The sequence below is a fragment of the Homo sapiens genome, chromosome 1 (assembly GCF_000001405.40).
Source record: "Homo sapiens chromosome 1, GRCh38.p14 Primary Assembly".
NCBI classification, from domain to species: domain Eukaryota; kingdom Metazoa; phylum Chordata; class Mammalia; order Primates; family Hominidae; genus Homo; species Homo sapiens.
This window is the reverse complement of record NC_000001.11, coordinates 201,421,731-201,445,496: the sequence shown is the minus strand read 5'-3', so window position 1 is coordinate 201,445,496 and position 23,766 is coordinate 201,421,731. Positions and strand designations below refer to the sequence as shown.

The window sequence follows — 23,766 nt, the reverse complement described above, 5'->3', positions numbered from 1 at the left end:
ATGATCCAACCACCTCCCACCAGGCCCCACCTCTAACACTGGAGATTACAATTTCACATGAGATTTGAGCAGAGACACACATCCAAACCATATTAGTGGCACAACAGTCAGAAAGCTTCAAATTCCACTGTCTTTCCACCACCAGACGCTGTCCTGGTAAAACATAAATGCTCCAGGGGAGGTAAAAGCCAGGTCTTGTTACTTACACTTTAGTGTGAATGAGTGCATTGAGATCCCCAAGGAAATTGACTGAGATCAGGTGGGTGATAAATATCTGATAAATACGCCTCTGCCTCTACCCTGGGCCAGGGATCACTGCTGCTTACTTGAATCACCCTGACTCCTCCTACCTCCCTTTCTGCCTGCAGTCCCTGCCCCGCTATCAACAGTTACCTTCCTAAAACTCAGGTTTGATTATCCTGCATCCCCTAAAATCAATCAGAGGATGCCTTTGCCTGTAGGGTGGGTCCACGTCACTTAGCTGGGATTCAAAGACTTTCCGATGACGTCAGCCTTCCTCTCTTGCCTCCCTTCCTACCAGCCTCCTATGGTCTGACCACAAAGAGAGGTTGCAGGATCTCACCATGCCTCTGCTTTCTCCCCTTCAAACTTTTGCTTGCATAGCTCCCTCTGCCTTTCTCTGCAATCTTAGTCAGCTGGGGCTGATAGAACAGAACAACATAGTCCTGGTGGCTTAAACAACAATTTATTTCTCATAGTTCTGGAAAACTGTGAAGGAGGCTGGGAAGTCTAAGCTCAAGGTGCTGGCAGATTCTTTGTCTGGTGCGGGTTCTCTTCCTTGTTTGCAGATGGCTGTCTTCTTATTGTATCCTTACATAATCAAGAGAAAAATAATCTGTCTCATGTTTCTTCTCAAAAGGGCACTAATTCCATTCATGAGGGCTCTACCTTCATGACCTCATCACCTCCCAAAGGCCCCACCTCCTAACACCATCACATTGCAGGTGAGGATTTCAACATATGAACTTTAGAGGGAGGCTGGGTGGGGTGGCTCACATCTGTAATCCCAGCACTTTGGGAGGCTGAGGTGGGTGGATCACCTAAGGTCAGGAGTTCAAGACCAGCCTGGGCAACATGGTGAAACCCCATCTCTGCTAAAAATACAAAACTTAGCTGGGCATGGTGGCAGGCTCCTGTAATCCCAGCTACTCAGGAGGCTGAGGCAGGAGAATCACTTGAACCCGGGAGGTGGAGGTTGCAGTGAGCCAAGATTGTGCCGTTGCATTCCAGCCTAGGTGACAAAAGCAAAACTCCATCTCAGAAAAAAACAAAACAAAACAAAACTGTAGAGGGTCACAGTTGTAGTGACCCTCACAGTTTCAGGGTCACAACATTTAGTCCATGGCACCTGCCTGTCCTCACACCCTCCTCCGGTCTGCCTGTTCAAATCCAATCTATCCTTCTCAGAGCCTGCTCCGCGGTGAGACCCATCATCCTCTAGAGCCTGCTGCTTCTTGCTCTCCTGCCCCTTCCCCTCTCTCAGGCTTCAGACGCCTGCACTAAGGTCACCGTCTGGACTCCCTGGCCCCGGACAGCCATCAAATCCTTCCCTGGCCCTGAGTGTCTCTGTGGAACTAGGCCTTGCCTGCCTCAGCCCATTCCTTCCCTCCCATGGGCTCTGGGCCTGGGGAAGCAGGGTTTGCAGGGGCACAGCTGGGAGAGAGGCTTCCAGGTGCAGGGAGCAGGAATGAGACGAAGATGCTGGGAAAGCTGCTCTGGTGTGTGAGATCCAGAGGCAGAGAGAAGGCTGGGCATCATGAATGTAATTGCCTCTTTGACTTTTTTTTTTTTTCAGAAGGGGAAAGGGACTTTAGTTAAGATCTGAATGGTTTTTAAGTTGTTTTTGGTTTCCAGACATATATTTTATGTGCATCCCTGACTCAGAGGAGCCCTAAGACAGGCATGGGTGAGCGTGCTTCCTCATCCTCACCCCACCCCACCTGGCCCCCACTTTTCCTGCATTTTAACAAACACCCTTACCTTTTCCTTCCCTGAGAAAGCCAACTATTGGATGCGCTTAACCTGATTCCATACAAATGCCCAGCTTCTCTCTATCCACACCTCTCTCCCCTCCTGCCTCAGGGATCATGTTCCTTTTCCTGTTGAAGCCAATCTGGCCACTGGTGCTCTTTTCTTTTTTCCTTTCTCTTTCAATTTTTCTTTATTATGGCAAGTATGCTTAACAGAATTTACCATATTAACCATCCATGTTTAAGTGTAGAGTTTCGTGGTGTTAAGTACATTCACATTGTTGTGCAGCCATCACCACTGTCCATCCACAGAACTCTTTTCATCTTGCAAAGCTGAAACTCTGTACCCATTAAACAATAACTCCCCACGCCCCCTCCCCCAGCCCCTATTCTACTTTCTGCCTTACGAATTTGACCACTCTAGGAATCTCCTATAAGTAGATCATAAAGCATTTGTCTCTATTTTTTTTTTTTTTTTTTTGAGACTGAATCTCACCTGGTTACCCAGGCTGGAGTGCAGGGATGCGATGTTGGCTCACTGCAACCTCTGCCTCCTGGGTTCAAGCGATTCTCCTGCCCCAGCCTCCTGGGTAGCTGAAATTACAGGCATGCACTATCACGCCTGGCTAGTTTTTTTTTTTTTTTTTTTTTTTTTTTTGTATTTTTAGTAGAGACGGGGTTTCACCATTTTGGTCAGGCTGGTCTCAAACTCCTGGCCTCAAGTGATTTGCTGGCCTCAGCCTCCCAAAGTGCTGGGATTACAGGCATGAGCCACCACACCAGGCCTGCATTTGCCTTTTTGTTACTGATTTATTTCACTTAGCTTAATGTTCTCAAGGTTCACCTGTGTTATATCATGTGTGAGAATTTCTTTCCTTTTTAAAGCTGAATAATATTCCATTGTATGTATATATCACATTTTGTTTATTCACAAGCTTATTGGTTTTAGATGGGGTCTCTTTCTGTTGCCCAGGTGTACAGGTATTCCATTGTATGTATATATCACATTTTGTTTATCCATTCATTTGTTGTTTTAGACAAGGTCTCACTCTGTCACTTAAGCCGGAGTGCAGTGGCACAATCATGGCTCACTACAGCCTCAACCTCTCAGGCTCAAACAATCCTCCTGCCTCAGCTTCCCTACTATAGTAGTCCCAGCTACTTGGGAGGCTGAGGCAGAAGCCACCATGCCTAGCTAATTTTTTTTTTTTAATTTCTTGTAGAGGTGGGACCTCACTATGATGCCCAGGTTGGTCTCAAACTCCTGGGCTGAAGTGATCCTTCCACTTTGGCCTCCCCAAGTGCTGGGATTACAGGTGTGAGCCACCGTGCCCAGCCTCCATTCTTTTGTTGATGGACACTTGTGTTGCTTCTACCTTTTGGCTATTGTGAATAATGATGCTATGAACACAGGTGTACAAATATCTCTTCAAGATCCTGCTTTCAGTTCTTACACTCAGGAGTGGAATTGCTGGGTCATATGGTAATTCTATTTTTAATATTTGAGGAACTGCCATAGTGTTTTTCACAGTGGCTGTATTTCTATTCCCAACAACAGTGCACTAGTGTGCCAATCTCTCTATATCCTCACCAACACTTGTCATTTCCTGTGTATTTGATGGGAGCCATCCTAATGAGTGTGAGGTGGAATGTGGTTTTGGTTTGCATTTCCCCTATCAATTAGTGAAGTTGAGCATCTTTTCATGTGCTTATTGACTATTCATATATTTTCTCTGGAAAAATACCTGTTCAAGTCCTTTGACCATTTTTTAATCTGGTTGGTTGTTTTGTTGTTGAGTTGTAGTTCTCTATATGTTCTGGATATTAATATCTTATCAGATACATGATTTGCAAGTATGCTGTCCCATTCAGCAGGTTGCCTTTTCACTCTGTTGGTAGTGTGTTTTAATGCATAAAAGTTTTCAATTTTTATGAAGTCCAATTTGTCTATTTTTGCTTTTGATGCCTCTGCCTTTGGTGTCATATCCAGGAAGTCATTGCCAAATTCAATGTCGTAAAGTTTTGCCCTACATTTTCTTCTAAGTGTTTTGTAGTTTTTAGCTCTTATATTTGGGTCTTTGGTCCATTGTGAGTTAATTTTTGCATATGGTGTTACGTAAGGGTCCAACTTCATTCTTTATCATGTGGATATCCACTTTCCCCAGCACCATTTGTTGAAATGACTGTCTTTTTCCCACTGAAGGGTTGTGGCACCCTTGTCTAAAATCATTTGACCATATATGCGAGGGTTTGTTTCTGGACTCTCTATTCTATTCCATTGATTGATATGTCTGTCTTTATGCCAGTACCACACTGTTTTGAAGACTGTAGCTTTGTAGCTAAGTTTTGAAATCAGAAACTGTGAGACCTCCAGCTTTGCTGTTCTTTTTCACAATTGTTTTGGGTTTTAGGGTCCTTTGAGGTTCCACATAAATTTTAGGATGGATTTTTCTATTTTTAAAGAAGATGTTGTTGGGAGGCACTAATGCCTCCCAACAACAATCCTCTGTTCCTGTTAGCTCTTTCTCCACAGGCACCTTCTCTTTGCTATAAACATGCTCACTTCTTTGTCATCCTAACAACTACTCCTTTGACCCCGTGTCCACCTCAGATATTTGTTCTATTTATCTTTACATATTTTAAAATCCAACCTCCTTGAAAAAGAAGCTCACTCTCTCACTTCCTCATGTATGCCCACGTGCTTCTTTTTATTAGCTGATTTTAATTTTTATGAAGACAATGAATGGCCACAGTTTAGAAAGATGAAAAAGTGCCACATTTCTTATAATGAAAACAGCAGTTTCCTGTGCCCCACTCTCCCCAAAGGCAGCCACTTAATTTTTCTGATATTCCAATGTGTATTTGCAACAACAGCCTGATAGTGCTCTTTGTAGATTTTTCAGTTTAAATACTATCTAGCCCAGGTGTGGTGGCTCATGCCTGTAATCCCAGTGCTTTGGGATGCCGAGGCGGGATCACCTGAGGGCAGGAGTTTGAGACCAGCCTGGCCAACATGGCAAAACCCCGTCTCTCCTGAAAATACAAAAATTAGCTGGGTGTGGTGGCGGGCCCCTGCAGTCCCAGCTACTCAGGAGGCTGAGGCAGGAGAATCACTTGAACCTGGGAGGCAGAGGTTGCAGTGAGCCGGGATCTCGCCACTGCACTCCAGCCTGGGCGACAGAGCGAGATACTCCATCTTAAAAATAAATAAATAAATAAATAAATAAATAAATAAATAAATAAATTAATTAAAAAAATAAATACATACTATCTAAACTGACTTCTTGTGACGGAAGGCAAGAACAGTGCAAACCTCACCCCAGCCCCCATGCAAACCCATCCCCCATCCTTTCAATACATTTAGTTTCATCTCAAGTTTTGGTTAAGTTAAAAATAGTTACATAACTTTGATTAGATAAATTTTCTTACATCCCATGTAGTATATTATGATTAACCTTCCCTACTTATATGATTTTTGGTTTTCTCTGAAGTTAAGTTTTGCCGTGTTTTTATTTGCTTAGTTGTCTATATATGTTTCATGACTAAATTAGCCTCTTTTTCCTCTTGGCCTAGAGGGCTCAGTAGATCCAAACCTGTGAGGAAGTTATGAGCACTCTTCTCTCTTCTCTCTTTTCTTTTTTTTTTCTTCCATACCCCTCGCCTGCCCCCAGTCTCCCGCTCTAATCTGTGCTAGTTACTTACTGGGCCTCATATACAGCTGTTAGTGATCCTAGAGCTTCCCTCTCCACTGTCCTGGGAATTTCCTTTGCCTCTTACCTACAGGATCCCAAATTCCCTGAACCCCATGCCTGCCTTTTGGTGATTTGCTCCTTCGTTTTGGTGAAACCCAATCTCTAGTACCTTCCTGAGAAAAGAGGCAAGAGAATTTAGAAACTTTGCATATATGAAAATATCTTTCTTCTGCTTCTTTTTTTTTTCTTTTTTTTGAGACTGAGTCTCACCCTGTTGCCCAGGCTGGAGTGCAGTGGCACCATCTCGGCTCACTACAAGCTCTGCCTCCTGGTTCAAGTGATTCTTCTGCTTCAGCCTCCAGAGTAGCTGAGATTACAGGCATGTGTCACCACGCCTGGCTAATTTTTGTATTTTTAGTAGAGACGGGAGTTTCACCATGTTGGCCAGGCTGGTCTTGAACTCCTGAGCTCAAGTGATCCGCCTGCCTCAGCCTCTCAAAGTGCTGGGACCATAAGCATGAGCCACCACACCCAGCCAGAAAATATCTGTCTTCTACCTTGACAGTTAATTGATAATTTACCTGGGCATACATAGAATTCTAGTTGAAAATTATTTTCTCTTAGAATTTTTGGGCCAGGTGCAGTGGCTTATGCCTGTAATCCCAGCACTTTGGGAGGCCAAGATGGGCATATCACTTGAGGTCAGGAGTTTGAGACCAGCCTGGCCAGTGTGGCAAAACCCCATCTCTACTAAAAATACAAAAATTAGCTGGGCGTGGTGGTGCGTGCTTGTAATCCTTCCTACTCAGGAAGCTGAGGCAGGAGAATTGCTTGAACTCGGGAGGCGGAGGTTGCAGTGAGCCGAGATTGTTCCAGTGCACTCCAGCCTGGGTGACAGAGGGAGATTGTCTCAAAAAAAAGAAAAAAAAAATTTTTTAAAGAGATTTTTCTATTGTATTCTAGTTTCCTGTGTTGCTCTTGAGAAGCCTAAAACTATCCAACTTTGAATCTTTTGTATGTGACCCATTTTTCTCTTTGGAAGTTTCAAGTGTCTTCTCTTTGTCTCCCGTGCCTTAGGTCTTTGTGAATAATACAGCTGGGACTTGGTAAGCCCTAGCCCCTGGAACGTTGTGCGTTCAATTTCTTTGGTAACTATCTCCATTTCCAGCTCTTTGTTTTGTTTTTCTGGAGTTCCAAGTAGTAAAATATTGGACTTCCTGGATGATCTTGAATTTTCTTATCTTTCTTGATCTATTTTCCATCCTTTTTTTGTGCCTCTGGAATCTTTCTTCAACTTTATTTTCTAGCCCTTCCAATTAACATGTTATTGTTGCTGTCATATTCCTAATTATTAAGAGTTCTTGCCGGGCGCGTTGGCTCACGCCTGTAATCCCAGCACTTTGGGAGGCCGAGGCGGGTGGATCACGAGGTCAGGAGATGGAGACCATCCTGGCTAACACGGTGAAACCCCGTCTCTACTAAAAATACAAAAAATCAGCCGGGCGTGGTGGTGGGCGCCTGTAGTCCCAGCTACTCGGGAGGCTGAGGCAGGAGAATGGCGTGAACCCGGGAGGTGGAGCTTGCAGTGAGCCGAGATCGCACCACTGCACTCCAGCCTGGGCGACAGAGCCAGACTCCGTCTCAAAAAAAAAAAAAAAAAAAAAAAAGAATGAGAAAGAGTTCCTTTTGTTTTCTGAATGTTATTTTTTCCTTTTTTGTATGGATTCTCTTCCCATTTCATGGGTGCAATATTATCTCTCTGTCTTTGGAAATATTAATCATAGTTTTTTGATGTTTTGTTCTGTTGTTTGCATTGTATGTTTTGTAAACCAACAAGTGTCTGAGACAGATCTCAGTCGATTTAGAAGTTTATTTTGCCAAGGTTGAGGACACGCTTAGGAAAAAGAAACACAAACCACGGTAGGATCTGTGGCCTATGCTTTTTTCCAGAGAGGGTTTTGAGGACTTTAGTGTTATATTAATTATTAATAAAATTAATAATATCACATTAATTAACTATATTAATAGTCCCTTCAGGACTCTGTCTCCCCTTGACTTCTGTGACATCATACTAATCTTATTCTAGCCCTGTCTCTTTTTCTCTCCTCTTCTGAGTTTCTTCCTCTGCCTCCCTTTAAAACACATCAATGGTTGGGTGTGGTGGCTCACACCTGTAATCCCAGCACTTTGGGAGGCTGAGGAGGGTGAATCACCTGAGGTCGGGAGTTCGAGACCAGCCTGGCCAACATGGTGAAACCCCATCTCTACTAAAAATACAAAAATTAGCCAGGCATGGTGGGCACCTGTAGCCCCAGCTACTCGGGAGGCTGAGGCAGGAGAATCGCTTGAACTGGGGTGGGGGAGGTTGCAGTGAGCCAAGATTGCACCACTGCACTCCAGCCTGGATGACAGAGTGAGACTCTGTCTCCAAAGAACAAAACAAAACAAAACAAAACAAAACAAAACAAAACAAAACAAAACACATCCATGCCCCTTGGGGCTTATTCTTAACCTTCGTCTCTTCCATAGTGAGAGTAAACTTGCTAGAGTTCCCCACACACCATGCTTTCTTAGGCCACTGTGCCGTGGCCAGGCTGTTCCTTGGGTCTGTAGTGCCCTTTGTCCTTGGTTGCCTGATGAACTCCTATACATCCTACAAAACCTGGCTCAGGGCTTATGCCCCCTGCAAATCTTCTCTTGAGTCCCCTCTGAGAGAATTAATCACTACCTTCTCAGTATGACATTAAAACACGTTATTGCATGTATTATAAATGTTTGGGGAGTTTTTATATATTCATGTGGCCAACAAGGCAGGAAAAGCAGGCTTCCCTTCTGTCTGGATTTTAGACTGCATCACAAAAAATTCACATTTATCAAGGTAGGTGGAGAGGATACCAGGGAGGGTATAGCAAGAGTATACTTCACTCCAGGCTGAACCCCCTGAATTATTCTGAGGTGGCTGCACCTGGAGTTGGGAGTGAATATCATTTTGTTACAGGCTGTGAGATTCTTGGCTCCCTGGACTCCGCAAGGCACCTTGGGAACCTCAATATCCTTCAATAGTGGAAACGGGAATTTTCTTCATACCTCGGTCTCCTGAGGCATCAGGGACCATCCACTCACTCCTGGCTCCACACCTCCCTCTAGGGTCAGCCGCCTTCTCTCCAAGCTCTCTCCACTTCTCAGTGTCACTGTTGGCCACGCCCAGAGAGGAGCAGGGGCTACTGCAGCTGGTGTCTCTTCCTGGGATGAAGCATCTTGAAGTCTTTAGAGACACTTGTGCACACACTACAGGCCTCCTTCCCATGTGTGTCCTTGAATGGGTTCCAGAGGGTCTCTGAGCCCGCTGGAATTGGTGTGGAATAGCTTTTGGCTTTTCAAAATGATGTGTGTGAATGCTTTTGCATTGCAAAAGTTTTCAAAGGAAGCTTGAACCCCCTTCCAAAAGTTAAGAACCATAGAACACTTAGATCCTCAAGGGAATTCTGGGATTACAGGGAGACCTCACTTTAAGAAAGATAGACAGGTCCAAAGCAACTATGTTGGAGTTACAGTAACTGCATTGCAAGACGCTTCTCTCACATGAACTGTATTTGTTGCTCTCCAAGCTTTAGCCCTGGAATCCACCCAGATCACCTAGCTGTGAACAAGCGTGCAGGGAAGGTTCAGGGAGTGATGAATAAGAGGCTGGGACTGGAAACACTTTTGATTGTTTATCATGTGGGTGGAGGGAGGAGGGACATTCACATACAATCAGCCACTTTGAAAATTTCACACCCAAGCGATCTCAGGCATATAGTCAGTCACAAACAAGTCACCCACACGTTCTTTCCCTTTCTCTCTCTGTTTCTCTCTCTCTCTTCACACACACACACACACACACACACACACACACACAGGCACGCGCACACACATGCACACACATGCACCAAGGCTCACCAATGCTCCCTCTGGTGGCAAGAAGAAGAACTTTATCTCTTTATTCCAGGAATAGAAATACAGCTCCCGGGACTAGGTCAGCCAATGCCAGGTTTTTCTCACATAACCCACACGGAGTACTGAAACAAAATTCACAGTTTTATAATGCCACTGTTTCATGCAGTGCCTTCAGGGCATTTTATTAAACCACAAAATACCTGGAGCTCACTAGCAATGACTGATCTTACACACAATAACTTGGATATTAAAAATTCTTGGGCTGGGTGCGGTAGCTCACTCCTGTAATCCCAGCACTTTGGGAGGCCAAGGTGGGCAGATCACCTGAGGTCAGGAGTTTGAGACCAGCCTGGTCAACACGGTGAAACCCCGTCTCTACTAAAAATACAAAAATTAGCCGGGCGTGGTGGCTGGCGCCTGTAGTCCCAGCTACGTGGGAGGCTGAGGGAGAAGAATCACTTGAATATGGGAGGCAGAGGTTGCAGTGAGCCAAGGTTGCACCACTGCACTCCAGTCTGGGTTACAGAGAAAGACTCCGTCTTAAAAAAAAAATTATTGGTTGAATCCTGTTATTGGCTGCCATTGGACATAATTAAAAATCATACTTTATGTTTTCTTGATTATTTCATCTTTTATGTTATTTTGTAGATGATAATGTGAATCAGGATAATAACAATAATAATCTGCTAAAAACATAGAATGTTGTTCTCAGATTAATAATAAAGGGTGTAAAGTCAGGTCTCAGTGTAGCAGCCCCGGGTCACCAACTTTGAATGAAACATTTATACGCCTGGCCAGGTGCAGTGGCTTACACCTGTAATCCCAATGCTTTGTGTGGTCAAGGTGGGAGGATCGCTTGAGCCTAGGAGTTTGTGACACTCTAGGCAAGAGAGGGAGACCCAGGACCGCTTTACACCCTTTGTTAAGGACTCCAAAGACCTTTTGTTTAAGTCAGTTAAATCTATCAATATTCTCCATATCAGAAATTAAAACTGAGAAAAAAGGTAAACATATATATGTTTGAGACAGAGTCTTGCTCTGTTGCCCAGGGTGGAATGCAGTGGCACAATCTTGGCTCACTGCAGCCTCCGCTTCCTGGGTTCAAGCGATTCTCATGCTTCAGCCTCCTGAGTAGCTGGGATTCCAGGCATGTGCCACCACGCCTGGCTAATTTTTGTATTTTTAGTAGAGACAGGGGTTTCACCATGTTGGCCAGGCTGGTCTTGAACTCCTGAGCTCAAGTTATCTGCCCGTCTCGGCCTCTCAAAGTGCTGGGATTAAAAGTGTGAGCCACCGCACCCAGCCTAAAATATATTAATTCATTTAGTAACTATAATAAGTCCATTTTACATGTTAACTTATTTTATTATATGTCATAAATAATGTAACAATATATTATACATTATAATGTAAAAAATAAATACAAATAAAATATTATTTAATATAAATAAAAGGTTTTGTGATAAAATTACAGAGCAGAAATACCTAGTGAAGAGTGGCATTTTATTACATTTTTACAAATCCTTTTACTTGTCTGGCCTAATAGAAAACAGTTGGATTCTCATATCTGCTTTGCAATCAATCTGTTTGTTAGAAATACAACAAAAAAATATCTAGTCTTGCATAGATATGTAGTCAGAAAACAGAAGTTTTTTTTTCAAGACAGATTCTCATTCTATTGCCCAGGCTGGAGTGCAATGGCATGATCTTGGCTCACTGCAACCTCCACCTCCCTGGTTCAAGTGATTCTCCTGCCTCAGCCTGCTGAGTAGCTGGAATTACAGGTGCACGCCACTATGCCCAGCTAATTTTTGTATTATAGTAGAGACGGGTTTTACCATGTTGGCCAGGCTGGTCTTGAACTCCTGACCTCGTGATCCGCCCACCTCAGCCTCTCAAAGTGCTGGGACTGCAGGAGTGAGCCACTGTGCCCGGCTGAGAGAAGTATTTTAATAGCATTTTCAGAGAATTGTGGATATTCTTGGGTACTACATCAAAACTCGATAAGTGGGAGTTTCTTAAGGGTTAGCTACAATGTACAATCTGAAACCTATCAATAAAGTTTTAATACTCTGGATTTTGTGACATTATGCCTTGGTCATTTGGAGGATATTGATGTTCCGAGTTATGCATATTTTCCAAATGTTGATGCATTTCATACATTAAACAATGATAAACAATTACATTCTTAATATCACCATTGATCTTATCTGAAAAGTCTTTACGTGTTTGGGAACCTGTCAAGCTCATGATGGCAGATAGAACTTTTCAAGATTCAAATTTTTGTTGGAAAGCTTGAATTTTATAATTGGCAACAAGTACTCTGAACTGTTTTCCTTGGAGTTACAGGCTTAGGCTGGGTGCGGTGGCTCATGCCTGTAATCCCAGCATTTTGGGAGGGTGAGTCTGAAGGATCACCTGAGGTCAGGAGTTTGAAACCAGCCTGCAACATGGTGAAACCCCGTCTCTACTAAAAACACAAAAAATAGCTGGCCGTGATGGTGCATGCCTGTAATCACAGCTACCCGGGAGGCTGAGGCACAAGAATCACTTGAACCTGGAGGGTGGAGGCTGCAGTGAGCCGAGATTGGGCCACTGCATTCCAGCCTGGGTGACGGAGCAAGATTCTGTTTCAAAAAAAAAAAAAAAGTTACAGGCTTACTTTGTTCATTTTTGAGAAAATAGTCAAGTCCAATTAACAGTTTTTCTTTTTCTTTTCTCATCTCTTTATTTTTTTTTGAGACAGGGTGCCCCTCTGTTGCCCAGACTAAAGTATGGTGACTTGATCTCAGCTTACTGTAGTCTCGACCACCTGTGCTCAAGTGATCCTCCCACTTTAGCCTTCTGAGTAGCTGGGACTACAGGCATGTGCCACCACGCGTGGCTAATTTTTGCACTTTTTTGTAAAGACGACGTCTCTCCATGTTGCCCAGGCTGGTCTCCAACTCCTGGACTAAAGTGACCCTTTCACCTTGGCATCTCAAGGTGCTGGGATTACAGGAATGAGCTACTGCATCCGGCCAATAGTCCCCTCCCCTCCCCTTTCCTCCTCTCCCCTCCCCTCCCCTTCCCTTCCTTTTTTTTTTTTTTTTTTTGAGATAGGATTTCATTCTGTTGCCCAGGCTGGAGTGCAGTGGTGCTATCTTAGCTCACTGTAGCCTCGACCTCCCAGGCTCAAGTGATCCTCCTGCCTCAGCCTCCCAAGTAGCTGAGACTACAGGTGCACACGATTATGACTGGCTAATTTTTGTAATTTTTGTAAAAATGAGGTCTTACATGTTCCCCAGGCTGGTCTCAAACTCCTGGGCTCAAGTAATCCTCCCACCTCGGCCTCCCAAAGTATTGGAATTACCAGTGTGAGCCACTGCATCCAGACAATAGTTTTTCAATCAGTCCTTTTCTCAAGTAAAAATGATGCCTTGGCTGGGCGCAGTGGCTCACACCTATAATCCCAGCACTTTGGGAGACTGAGGTGGGTAGATCACCTGAGGTTGTGAGATCGAGACCAGCCTGACCAACATGGAGAAACCCTGTCTCTATTAAAAATACAAAATTAGCCAGGTGTGGTGGTGGATGCCTGTAATCCCAGCTACTTGGGAGGCTGAGGCAGGAGAATCGCTTGAACCCTGGAGGTGGAGGTTGCATTGAGCCGAGATTGTGACATTGCACTCCAGCCTGGGCAACAAAGGCGAAACTCCGTCTCAAAAAAAAAAAAAGATGTTTTATGATGGAATACAGCACTTATAGCTTACACAGATATATAGATATGTATTCCATATACTTTGGTCTATGGCAGAAGTGCTCTATATTCTAAACATATTTAATTTAATACAATTAACATTTTTTTCTGTTTCATCAAGGACGCTTAAATAAAACTGGCTTTTTGGCCCCAATGACTGCAACATGGGAAAGAATAAGTCACCAGTTTTACCCACCATTGCCTTCGCACTATCAGCCCACATGCCAATCCAATGCAAAGATAAATATGGTACCCCCAGGAGTTGGTGGACCACTCTTCGAGAAGCATTACCACATCGCAAACCCAGGATAGTCTGTGACGGGGCGGAGAGGGGTCTGTCTTAGGGGGCCTAATCCCTCTCCACCTCCTGCTTTGGCTGGGGAAATTCATTCCACCCCCAGCTCCCAAGGCCCCCGTTTGGTTTCCAGCCTCTGCTGCAGCAGATGCACTCTGGGTGTAGTTATATGTCTGCAGTCCCGTTCCCTGCTGGACTGACAGTGAGCACCTTGGAGCTGGGCTTTGTGTTACCAATTTTCCTATAGCTGAGCCCTGATGAGCAGCAAAGAGATGGGTTGAAGTGTGGCTGGGAGTCTGCATGTATAAGGAAGCAAAGGGAGGCCTCCTCTTTCTTGCACAGAGAGGAGGGTAGCAGCTTGCCCCTCCCCCTGCCCCATTGTGAACAGGGTGAGACCCCATGAAAGCCCTATCCTCAGAAAGAGGCTCAGCCCAGCCTCAGAGTTTTGGAGAGGTTGTCCTATCCTGGCTAGGGTCTGGAAGGATCTTCATTAGATCTGCTGACTGAGAAGGTCCCACCCTTCTCAATTCCTCCCCAAGCCTCCTGCAAAACAGTCATGGGGTGGGGGCAAGGGCGTGAGAGCAGGGAAGAAGGACAGCTGGGGTCTGTGGAGTTATGGGGCTTTGGAGGAGAATGGAGCGGGAGGAGGAAGCAGCCAGGGAGGTGGGGATACACACCAGAAACAAGGGCAGGGCTCTTTGTCTGTGTTGGCACCTGCTTCCCCCTGACATTTCTGGCCCCAGGCTGGGCACAGGGTGGAGGGGGTGGTCATAGTTCAGGGTGACCTCCCAGGGCCTAAGTTTAACAACAACAAAGGCCCAGTGCCCAGCTGTTGTTTCTATGTGTGTCCGAGCACATTGTTGGAGGGCGAGCAGTTCATCACCTATGTCAAGGTCAGTGAGTGGCTGCGGCTGCTTCTCTCTGGGAGAGGGGGCATCTGGTGCCCAGACACTCCAGGTGCCAAGAACTTGAAACAGATGGCTTCTCAGACGGCCCTTTCCCTGTACCCTTAGCCATGAGCCTCCTAGCCTTATTTCAGGACCCTGAGAAACAAGCAAAGATCCCTCCTGAGCCATGAAAGGCAAATTTCCTGCACTGTGTCTGGCCAGAAGGTGCCTTTCTGTGTTGGTTACTTGTCCATTCGTTTATTCGATGAGCATCTACTATGTGTCAGGCACTGTGGTGGTCACTGAGAATATAAAACTGCATAAGACATAGTGTTGACACTCAAGTTTCTCCCAGATGAGTAAATAGATGACTTCAGTATTGTGGATGCCATGTAGAAAGAGGGACATACAGGGCTATGGGGCCTGGAGGAGCGGCTCCTAGTGCAGTCGGGTGGCCAGGGTAGACTTCCTGGACGAGTCAGTGCTCCACTGAGACTTGGAGGAGGGTAGGAGTATAGGTGGATTGGGAGAGAAGGGCCTTTGGAGAAGCCTCTGGTGATCTGGGGATGTTGAATAGTTCTGTGCAGCTGGGACCAGGGGGCATAGGGGCTAGGGAAGCTGCAAGGGTGTGATCACAGAAGCGCATGTGACTTGACCACAGGTTTGCATTTTATCCTCATATTGTCATTGAAGGAAGGTGGTTCGGGCGGCAGTGGGATGGAGAGGCTTCCGGAGCAGTCAGCTGGAGCGGTGAGGAGGTTGCTGCCATGAAGCTGGCAGAAGACAGTGGCTCAAACAGATACGGTGGCGTGGGTCTGTGGAGGAGGGCAGGTTAGGAGGCCTCGAGGGGAGCAGGACAGGACTTGCTGCTCTCCTGGCTGCGAGGAGGAAGGGAATGGAGCAGAGGGGGGGACCCTCAGATTTCTAGTTTGGCTCAGCGGCTGTGGCTGGGCCTTTGTGTGACAGGGAGAAGAGGAAGGGAGCAGATGGGGTTCAGGGTGGGGCCATCGAGTGAGGAGGGGCTTGGCGGTGCCTGAGCCAGGGTGTTGCCCAGGCAGCTGGGCACATGGGCCTGGTGCTGGAGTGGGCCAAACTGCCCCAGCAGGCCCCAGGGAAGGACGGCAGGCTGGGATGCCGTCCCCACGGACTCCCTCTCCTCTCTTAGCCCTGGCACTAAGTGCGTTCCTCTGGCAAAGAAGAAAATAATTTCTGTCCCTCGCCATCTGCTGCATGGGAAGATGGGAATGGAGTGAGCACGGTATGAGGGGATCAGGAACGTCAAGGGGCTGTGTCCAGCTGCCCAAACCATCCAAGAGGCCGGCACCGTGCTGAGGACAGTGGCGGGGACAGGAGCCAAGGTTCATCATCGTACCCCAAGGCCTGGGTTGGTGCCTGATAAAGAGTGTTTGGGGGGCTCCAGAGTTCTCTGGGTCTGAAGCGTAGGGTGGGGAGGGCAGCATGGGGGATGGACCAGGGCAGGGGCTGCCCATGCCCAGTTCAGGGGCCCCACTGAGGGGTGAGCACAGACAAAAGTGTTGTGTCTGCCTAGAAGGGCTGCTTTTAGATGTTTTTTTTTTCAGTCTTTCTATGATTATATTTTCTTCCTTTAACCAGAATAATATGATATCCAAAGTTTGTCTTAACTGGTGGATGTTATACAGGCTTATCCATCCCACTTACAGGCAAGACAGATGCTGCGTCCTGCAATGGCCCCACCATGGACCCTCGTCATCCAACCGAAGTCGCCCCCTTGCCTGGCTTTATCTTCACTATATTGTGAGGCTGCTTCATTGAATCTTATCCCAGACTTTAACTTTTCCATGACTGCCGTGATTTTGCCATGTTGTTCACACAGAGTGTGTCTGACCTTAGCTGCATTGCCACCGCCTTTGGGACCCTGAGCCTTCTTGCCAGCACTGTCACTCCCAGAGGTTGCTTCCACTTTCCCCTTTTCCAGAACCACTTGTTCCTTTGGGTGGCATCCTGGAAACTTGCTGTTGAAGTCTCAACTGCCTCAGTGGTTCTTCAAGGGAGGTCCTCAGGCCACCACCTGAGAAATTGTTAGAAATGCAAGTTTCTGGGCTGCATCCCAGACCTGCTGAATCAGAAATTTGGGGAGGTGAGGCCCAGAATCTGTGTTTTAACAAGCCCCCCTCAAAATTCGGATGCCCTATAAGGGTTTGAAAACCACTGGGGGTGGGTGGGGGAGTGGGCAGAGGCCTGTTCTGCTGCACACCATGCTGGGTCCAGAGTGAACAGATGGAGGGGAGAAGCCCCATCAGCTGCCCCTGGGGACAGCCTTTTCAGAGGGAAGGTAGAACTGTGCACCCAAAAACACAGGGGAGGCAATGCCTAGAACCAAGTGAGCATCAGAGACAGAAAGTCCTGTGCGGGAGAGCTGGGTGGAACCTGGTGGGTGGGTAGCGTGGGGCAGAATTGGGAGAGAGACACAGTGACCGGGTGTCCCAGTTCCCAGGGTTGCTAACTGCTCACGTGCCAGCTTGAAAATGATTAGTTTCTAGGGAGGGGTCTACACCCAATTTGCTGGCTCACTCTCCATCACTGTCCTCCACATCCCCCAGTCCCTGGACATACAGGGTCAGCCCCACCGACTTATTATGGGGATTCCTGGAGAGGCAGCCTGTTTTGTGGGGGCCTGTCAAGGCACTGCCAGTCCCGGGCTCAGGGTGTGGAGGCTCAGCGGCAGCACAGAAAAAGGGAACCTGGGGCGGGAGTGGGGGTGGTCTTTGGGCCTTCCTCCTTCATTCTAGCACTGGGCTGATGGGAGAAGCCAGATGAGCCAGAAGAGAATTCAGGGTGTGGCAATGCTGAGCTCAAGGAGCAAGTAGTTCAAGAGAGAAGTGAAGCAACAGGTTTGGCAGAGGGTGGCGGGTGTGGGGGGGGGGGGGTCGGGGCATGGGGAGGTGTGTGGAGGGTGCAGAGGGTGAGAGATGTACCCCCACCTGCCCAGTGCTGGGACCTGCAGGGACTCACAAGACCCTCAGCCTCTTCCCTCTGCCCTGCCTCTCCTTCACTTCCACTCACCCCATCTCTAGCCCCACCCAGGCCTTCCTGGAGGGGAAGAAGAGCCTCCTCTCATGGTGTCCCCGTGCTAAAAAGAGTGGCTAATATTATTTGTTATTACACAGCCAAACCTCTTACAATAGGTACATCAAGAATCAGTCATTCAAACCATCACTTACGTTTTTTTTTGTTTTGTTTGAGACAGGGTCTCACTCTGTCACCCAGGCTGGAGTGGCATGTGATCTCGGCTCATAGTAGCCTTGACCTCCTGCTGGGCTCAAGCAATCCTCCCACCTCAGCCTCCCGAGTAGCCAGGAGCACAGGCTTGCACCACCACACCCGGCTAACTTCTGTATTCTTTGTAGAGACGGGGCTTTTGCCATGTTGCCCAGTCTGGTCTCAAACTCCTGAGCCCAAGCCATCTGCCTGTGTCAGCCTCCCAAAGTGCTGGGATTACAGGCCTGAGCCACCATGCTCAGCCCATTTACTGTGTTTAATGTTGGGATGAATTATACAGAGCTTTGGGGTCACAACATTGGTCCATTCCAAGTTCCCTGTGGGAACCACAGTGTTGGCTGAAGATGAGAACATTAAAGTCATAGCGATGGCCCCCATTTACTGAACACTTACTGTGTGCAGGAGCACGGACTTTGGCACCAGAGAGCTGGGTGCAGCTCTCAGCTCTGCGTCATCCTTGCTGTGGGACCCTGGGTTATTGCTGAGCCACTGTGAGTCTGTTTCCTCGTGGGTATAGTAGGGTAAGTAATAGTGCCTACCTCAGAACATTAGTGTGAGGCCTCGAGGGGTATATACTAAGAACCAACATTTGTTCAGCATTTGCCTTGTGCCAGGCCTTTGCAATGCCCTTTATACACAGCACCTCATAGGAACCTCACAGCAACCCCCCGGGTGGGCACCATTATTATCCCCATTTTACAGATGAGGAAGTGGAGGCTCAGAGGGATACATTGCTAAGTTTCACTAGTGAGTGTTCCTGGCAAGTGGCAGAGCCGTCTACTTCCAAAGTCATGTGTTGACTCACCTCACTATGCTGTCTCTAATGCCACAAACCTTCATGTGGGGCTGATTTGTGGTGAAAAATTGAGGGTGACAGCTTTTGGTTTCTTTGTTCCTTCTGCTCTAGTCCCCTCAGCCCCCAGCCCTGCCCCCTCTCAGAACTCAGCCACAGAAAGCTGGCCCTGGAACCACGATGGGCTTAACAGGGGGTGGGCAGAGAAGGCGGGGAGGGGTGTGGGGTTGGCTGTCACTGAAGCGAATGCCCCTGAGTAGTAGCGGGAGGGCCGGTGTCGGGAGGGGCCGCCGGGAAGACAGATGGTCTGGGCTTTGTCACTTGCTAATTTGGGCTTCTGTGCTTCCCAAACCAAGCCAGGGCAGCCAGGGCTGACAGGTGTCAGCCTCTGAGGTGATAGGCCCTGACTCCACAACCCACGGCCTTACAAGGCTTAGCTCCTCTGGCCAGACACTTCCTTCCCTTGCCCCGTGGCCTCCCCAGCCCCGGGAGGGACAAGGATGACACTGGGAGTCAGTGGCACTAGAGGCTGGAAACCCCTCCAGGCCTTCCCCTCTCACCGATGCCCATCTCACCATCCCTCTTTCCTGGACTTGCCTTTTCCTCCCGCGATCTGGCCAGCTCTGGTTCTCACTCCTTCTCCTGGCAATTCTTCCATCCATTTCCATTGAGCTGGGCAGTCACAGAAGATCTGAGAGGGTACTGACCACAGAGGCCATTCTCCTGAGGCCTGGATTCTGGTCAAGGCTGCCTCAGCCTCTACCTGGACTTTGAAAGAGGATAAAGGGGGCCAGACATGGTGGCTCATGCCTGTAATCCCAGCACTTTGGGAGGCCAAGGCAGGAGGATTGCTTGTGCCCAGGTGTTCAAGACCAACCTGGGCAATATAAGGAGATGCCACCTCTATAAAAAATTAAAAAAATATTTTTAAAAAGAGGTTAAGGGAAAGCCAGCAGCCTTGTCCCAGGGAGGGGGACCCCATGGAAGCCAGGCTCAGCCTCAGGTCCCTGCACACCCTTAACCCGCTTTACAAATGAGGAAGCCAAGGTTCAGAGAAGATGCTGCATAGCTGGATCAATTCTGCAGTGAACCTAAATTCAGCTTAGTGTCTAGAAGGCCTGCAATAAGGCTAGGCCAATGCAATGAGGGGAAACTCATGTGGTATAGAGTAGGGCTTGGACATGAAGCTGGATTAGGAATTAGAACAAGGTCAGTTTTGGCATTTTGCATGCTGTGTGCAGAATGGATTGAGAGCACAAGCGGCCACCTCAGTAAACCAAGCAAGAGAGTAGAGAGCAAGAAGGTGAAGGTTCTAGTAGGTTAGGGATAAAGACAGGGGCAGGGATTATACTGGGGTTAAAAGGAGGGTTAGGGCCAGGTGTGGTGGCTCACGCCTGTAATCCCAGCACTTTGGGAGGCCGAGGCGGGTGGATCACGAGGTCAGGAGATCAAGACCATCCTGGCTAACACGGCGAAACCCTGTCTCTACTAAAAATACAAAAAAGTAGCCGGGCGTGGTGGCAGGTGCCTGTAGTCCCAGCTATTCGGGAGGCTGAGGCAGGAGAATGGCGTGAACCTGGGAGACAGAGCTTGCAGTGAGCTGAGATTGCACCATTGCACTCCAGCCTGGGTGACACAGCGAGACTCCATCTCAAAAAAAAAAAAAAAAAAAAAAAGGAGGGTTAGTTTTAGGATTTGAATTGGGCTAAAGTTAAGGTTAGGGAAGTGTCTTTGCTTTGTGGGCAGCGTGACAGAGCACTGGGCTGGGAGTTAGGAGACCTAACCCCTCACCCTGTGGCCTCTCCTCGAGGGGCCTCGATTTCCTCACGGGCACATGGATTGGACTGGACGGTCTTCCTGCTCTGGCGTCCTGCAATGCTCTCGGCAAGATCAGAGCTGGCTTTCTGGAAGGCCAGGCCCTGGTGGGGCTGGATTGTGGCCCACTCTTCCTCAGGGCTGCCTTGCTGTGAAACCTGGGCTGGTTTGTTTCACTGACCCTCCCAGGTCACTGTTTTCCTGACTGGTCCTAAGCACAGCCGGAACCATGAAGTCCAGGGCCCATCAAGGCACCGAAGAATGTATTAGTTTCTCATTGCTGCTGTGGCAAGTCAGCACAAATAACCCAAGTTTATTATCTTACAGTTCTGGAGGGCAGAAGTCTGAAGTCAGTCTCCCTGGGCTGCAAGGCAAGGTGGTGGGAGGCCTGCTTCCCCCTGCAGGCTCTAGGGGAGAAGCCGTTCCCTGGCCTTTTTTGGCTTCTAGAGGCTGCCTGCATTCCTTGGCTCATGGCCTCCCTCCATGATCAAGGCCAGCAGCATAGCATCTTTTCTGACATCTGCTTCCTTCATCGCATTTCCTTCTCTCAGCCTTGCTCCTCAAGCCTCACTCAGCTGAGAAGGACACTTGTGTTTAGATGGGGCCCACCAAGATAATCCAGGATAATCTCCCCATCTCAAGTGTCTTAATGTAATCACATCTGCAAAATCCCTTTGCCATATAAGGTAACAGATTCACATTTGCATTAGGGCACGGGCACCTGTGGGGACCATTATTCAGCCTAGCGCAAAGGGTGCTGCCTGGGGATCTCCAGGGCCAGGAGCACTCTCTCTGGCTCTGTGTCTAGGAAGGGTCCTCCCTGACCAGTAAGCATCTGAGTCAGACAGAACCTCAGCTCTGGGACAGCTGTGCCTGCTCTGCAGGGAGAATAGGAAGCCTGGCCCCAGGGCAGATGTGCACTGAGAAGGGGTGACCTTTTCTGTAGGCAAGGAGGGGAGGAGAAAGGCTGCAGAGGCGCACTTGGCTGGGGCAGTGAGTGGGCCACAGGGCTAAGACCTCCAGTGGCGGCCCCTCAGCTGGGTGTGGGCGGCCTGAATCATTGAGGCCTGCTCTGCACCCACTCCATACATGAAGGAAGATGGGGGTCAGGGGCAAGGACAACAGGGCACTGCATTCTTGCTTTTGAAGGCCACCTTTGAGAGACTGCAGGAGAGAGACGCTAAAGAAGTCAGTGTGTGAACTGGGGTCAAAGGTCAGGGTGGATCTGAGAGGGTGAGCTGGAGGCTGGATTCCACATGGTGTGCAGGGATGGTGGGGATGGAATTGGGACACTGGGGTGAGGGGTCCTGGTCCCATGCTGTCCAACAGAGTGTGAAGATGAATCACTCCGAGTCTGAGATTCTCCATGGCTCCTGCCCAGGGAGGGCCCCTGGCTGCACTATGTTCTCCACGTCTTGCTGCGGACATCCGGCCACCTACTTTCTTGGCTTTTGTTCACCCTGCTTTGTTCTTCTATTTGTCGAACTGTCTTCTTTTGTTTTTCCTTTTCAAAAAGCAGGATAATTCATGCAGAGAATTCATTTTTTGAGAATATCAAGGCCTTTTAAGAAAGTTATTGTATAGGCTGGTCATGGTAGCTCATGTCTGTAATCCCAGCACTTTGGGAGGCCGAGGCAGGTGCGTTGCTCAAGGCCAAGAGTTTGAGACTAGCCTGACCAACATGGTAAAACCCCATCTCTACTAAAAATATAAAAAATAGCCAGGCATGGTGGCGTGCCTGTAGTCCCAGCTACTCAGGAGGCTGAGGCAGGAGAATCACTTGAACCCGGGAGGTGGAGGTTGCAGTGAGCCACTGTACTCCAGCCTGGGTGACAGAGCCCCTGTACTCCAGCCTGGGTGACAGAGTGAGACTCTGTCTCCAAAAGTATATAAATAAATAAATAAATAAATGGAAAGTTATTGTATAAATTATAATAAGCCAAGGCAATAAACTCCAGTAGGCTCATCTGCAAAGCCCCTAAATTCCTTCTCCCCTCTAGCTGCTCCTTTTGGCTGGAGCCTGCCTTCATTATCCATCACAGCCTCTCCACTTGGAATCCTATGTCCCCAACCCCTATGCCTCCCCAGACCCTGTCATTTCTCCCTGGCAGCCGTCTCACATAGAGGCTTCTCAAAGTTGACCCGACCAGAACAGAATTAGAGCAACCTCTATTAGGCAGCAGAATGTCGTTGTAGAGAGGGCAGGGCCTTTACCTCTGTGGGCACTGGGGTGTGTCTCCTTAGGACACCCCTGCCCATTACTCTCTCCTTCTCCAAATGGGGAGCATGGCTGGGGCTCCCTAACCTCCTGCTTGCGAGGCCTCTCTCTGGCCTCTGAGAGGGTCAGTGTCCTGCCCCAACCCATGAGATGACAGACTATAATAGCCACAGGATTAACATAGCAGGCATTGTCTTTCTCTGACTATAGGGTGGGTATTATGTGTTCATCAACCATCCTAAAAATACCCGGTAAACAGGTGCAGCCCCTGTGGCTCCAGTCCCCTGGGATCTGTTGGCTTCTGGCTGGAGATGAAGATTAGGGCAGAGGAGAGGTGAATTAGTCTCACTGAGTTCCAGGCATGAGACTCGGGTGTCCTTTGGAACCTGGGAAATCTAGATTCCAGGAAACCCATCTGGAGGGGGATGCAGAGTGTCTGCAGACCCTCAGACCTCCCTGAGCATAAAGGTGTGCCCTGCTGCCACTGCCATTCTGCTCAGCCCTGGAAACACTCACTGGGGTCAGCCTGCAACACTGCTCACATCACTCCCCACAGCCAGGCACCCTCGTATCCCACGTGCACCAGAGCCACTGAAAAATCCCTGAAAGCTGAGTCTTTAGCCCTCTTGGGCTTTTGGGGCATGGGTTCAGGGGCCTCATTTCCATATTGCCTTATAAGAGATGCAGGGTTAGCCCAATGGTCCTCTTCCCCCAGCTGCTACTTGCCCCTCTGGGCCTTCACTGTGGCCCTTTGCTCTCCCTCATTCCCCCTCCCAGTCCCATCTCTGCTCAGTCCCCACACCTGGTCTGGCTGCTCATTCTTTCCCTTTCTGCAGCTCGAGTCTCCCCAGGTGGGTGCTGGTTTCACTCAGTTGGTGGCACCTATGTGCACAGAATTTGCCTCTGCTCCTGAGCCACAAATTCACATGGCTTTCCGCCTATGTGCCTGTTGTGTGCATTGCAGCACGCATCTGCCCTGTGAGGTGTGTGTGTGTGTGTGTGTGTGTGTGTGTGTGTGTGTGTGTGTGAAGGGTGGGAGGGAGGAGGGGCAGCAGGAGGGGGCAGTGGGTCTGTTCTATTTTTACCAGCCAGTTGCTGCTGGACACAGTTTTCATAGCCTCCCCTCGGCTCTGCCCCTC

General features: G+C 48.3%; 1 pseudogene; it reads right to left on the bottom strand.

The window, feature by feature from the left end:
- Positions 1 to 16,100: 16,100 nt before the first annotated feature.
- Positions 16,101 to 16,543, bottom strand: LOC124904582 (peptidyl-prolyl cis-trans isomerase NIMA-interacting 4-like; annotated as a pseudogene).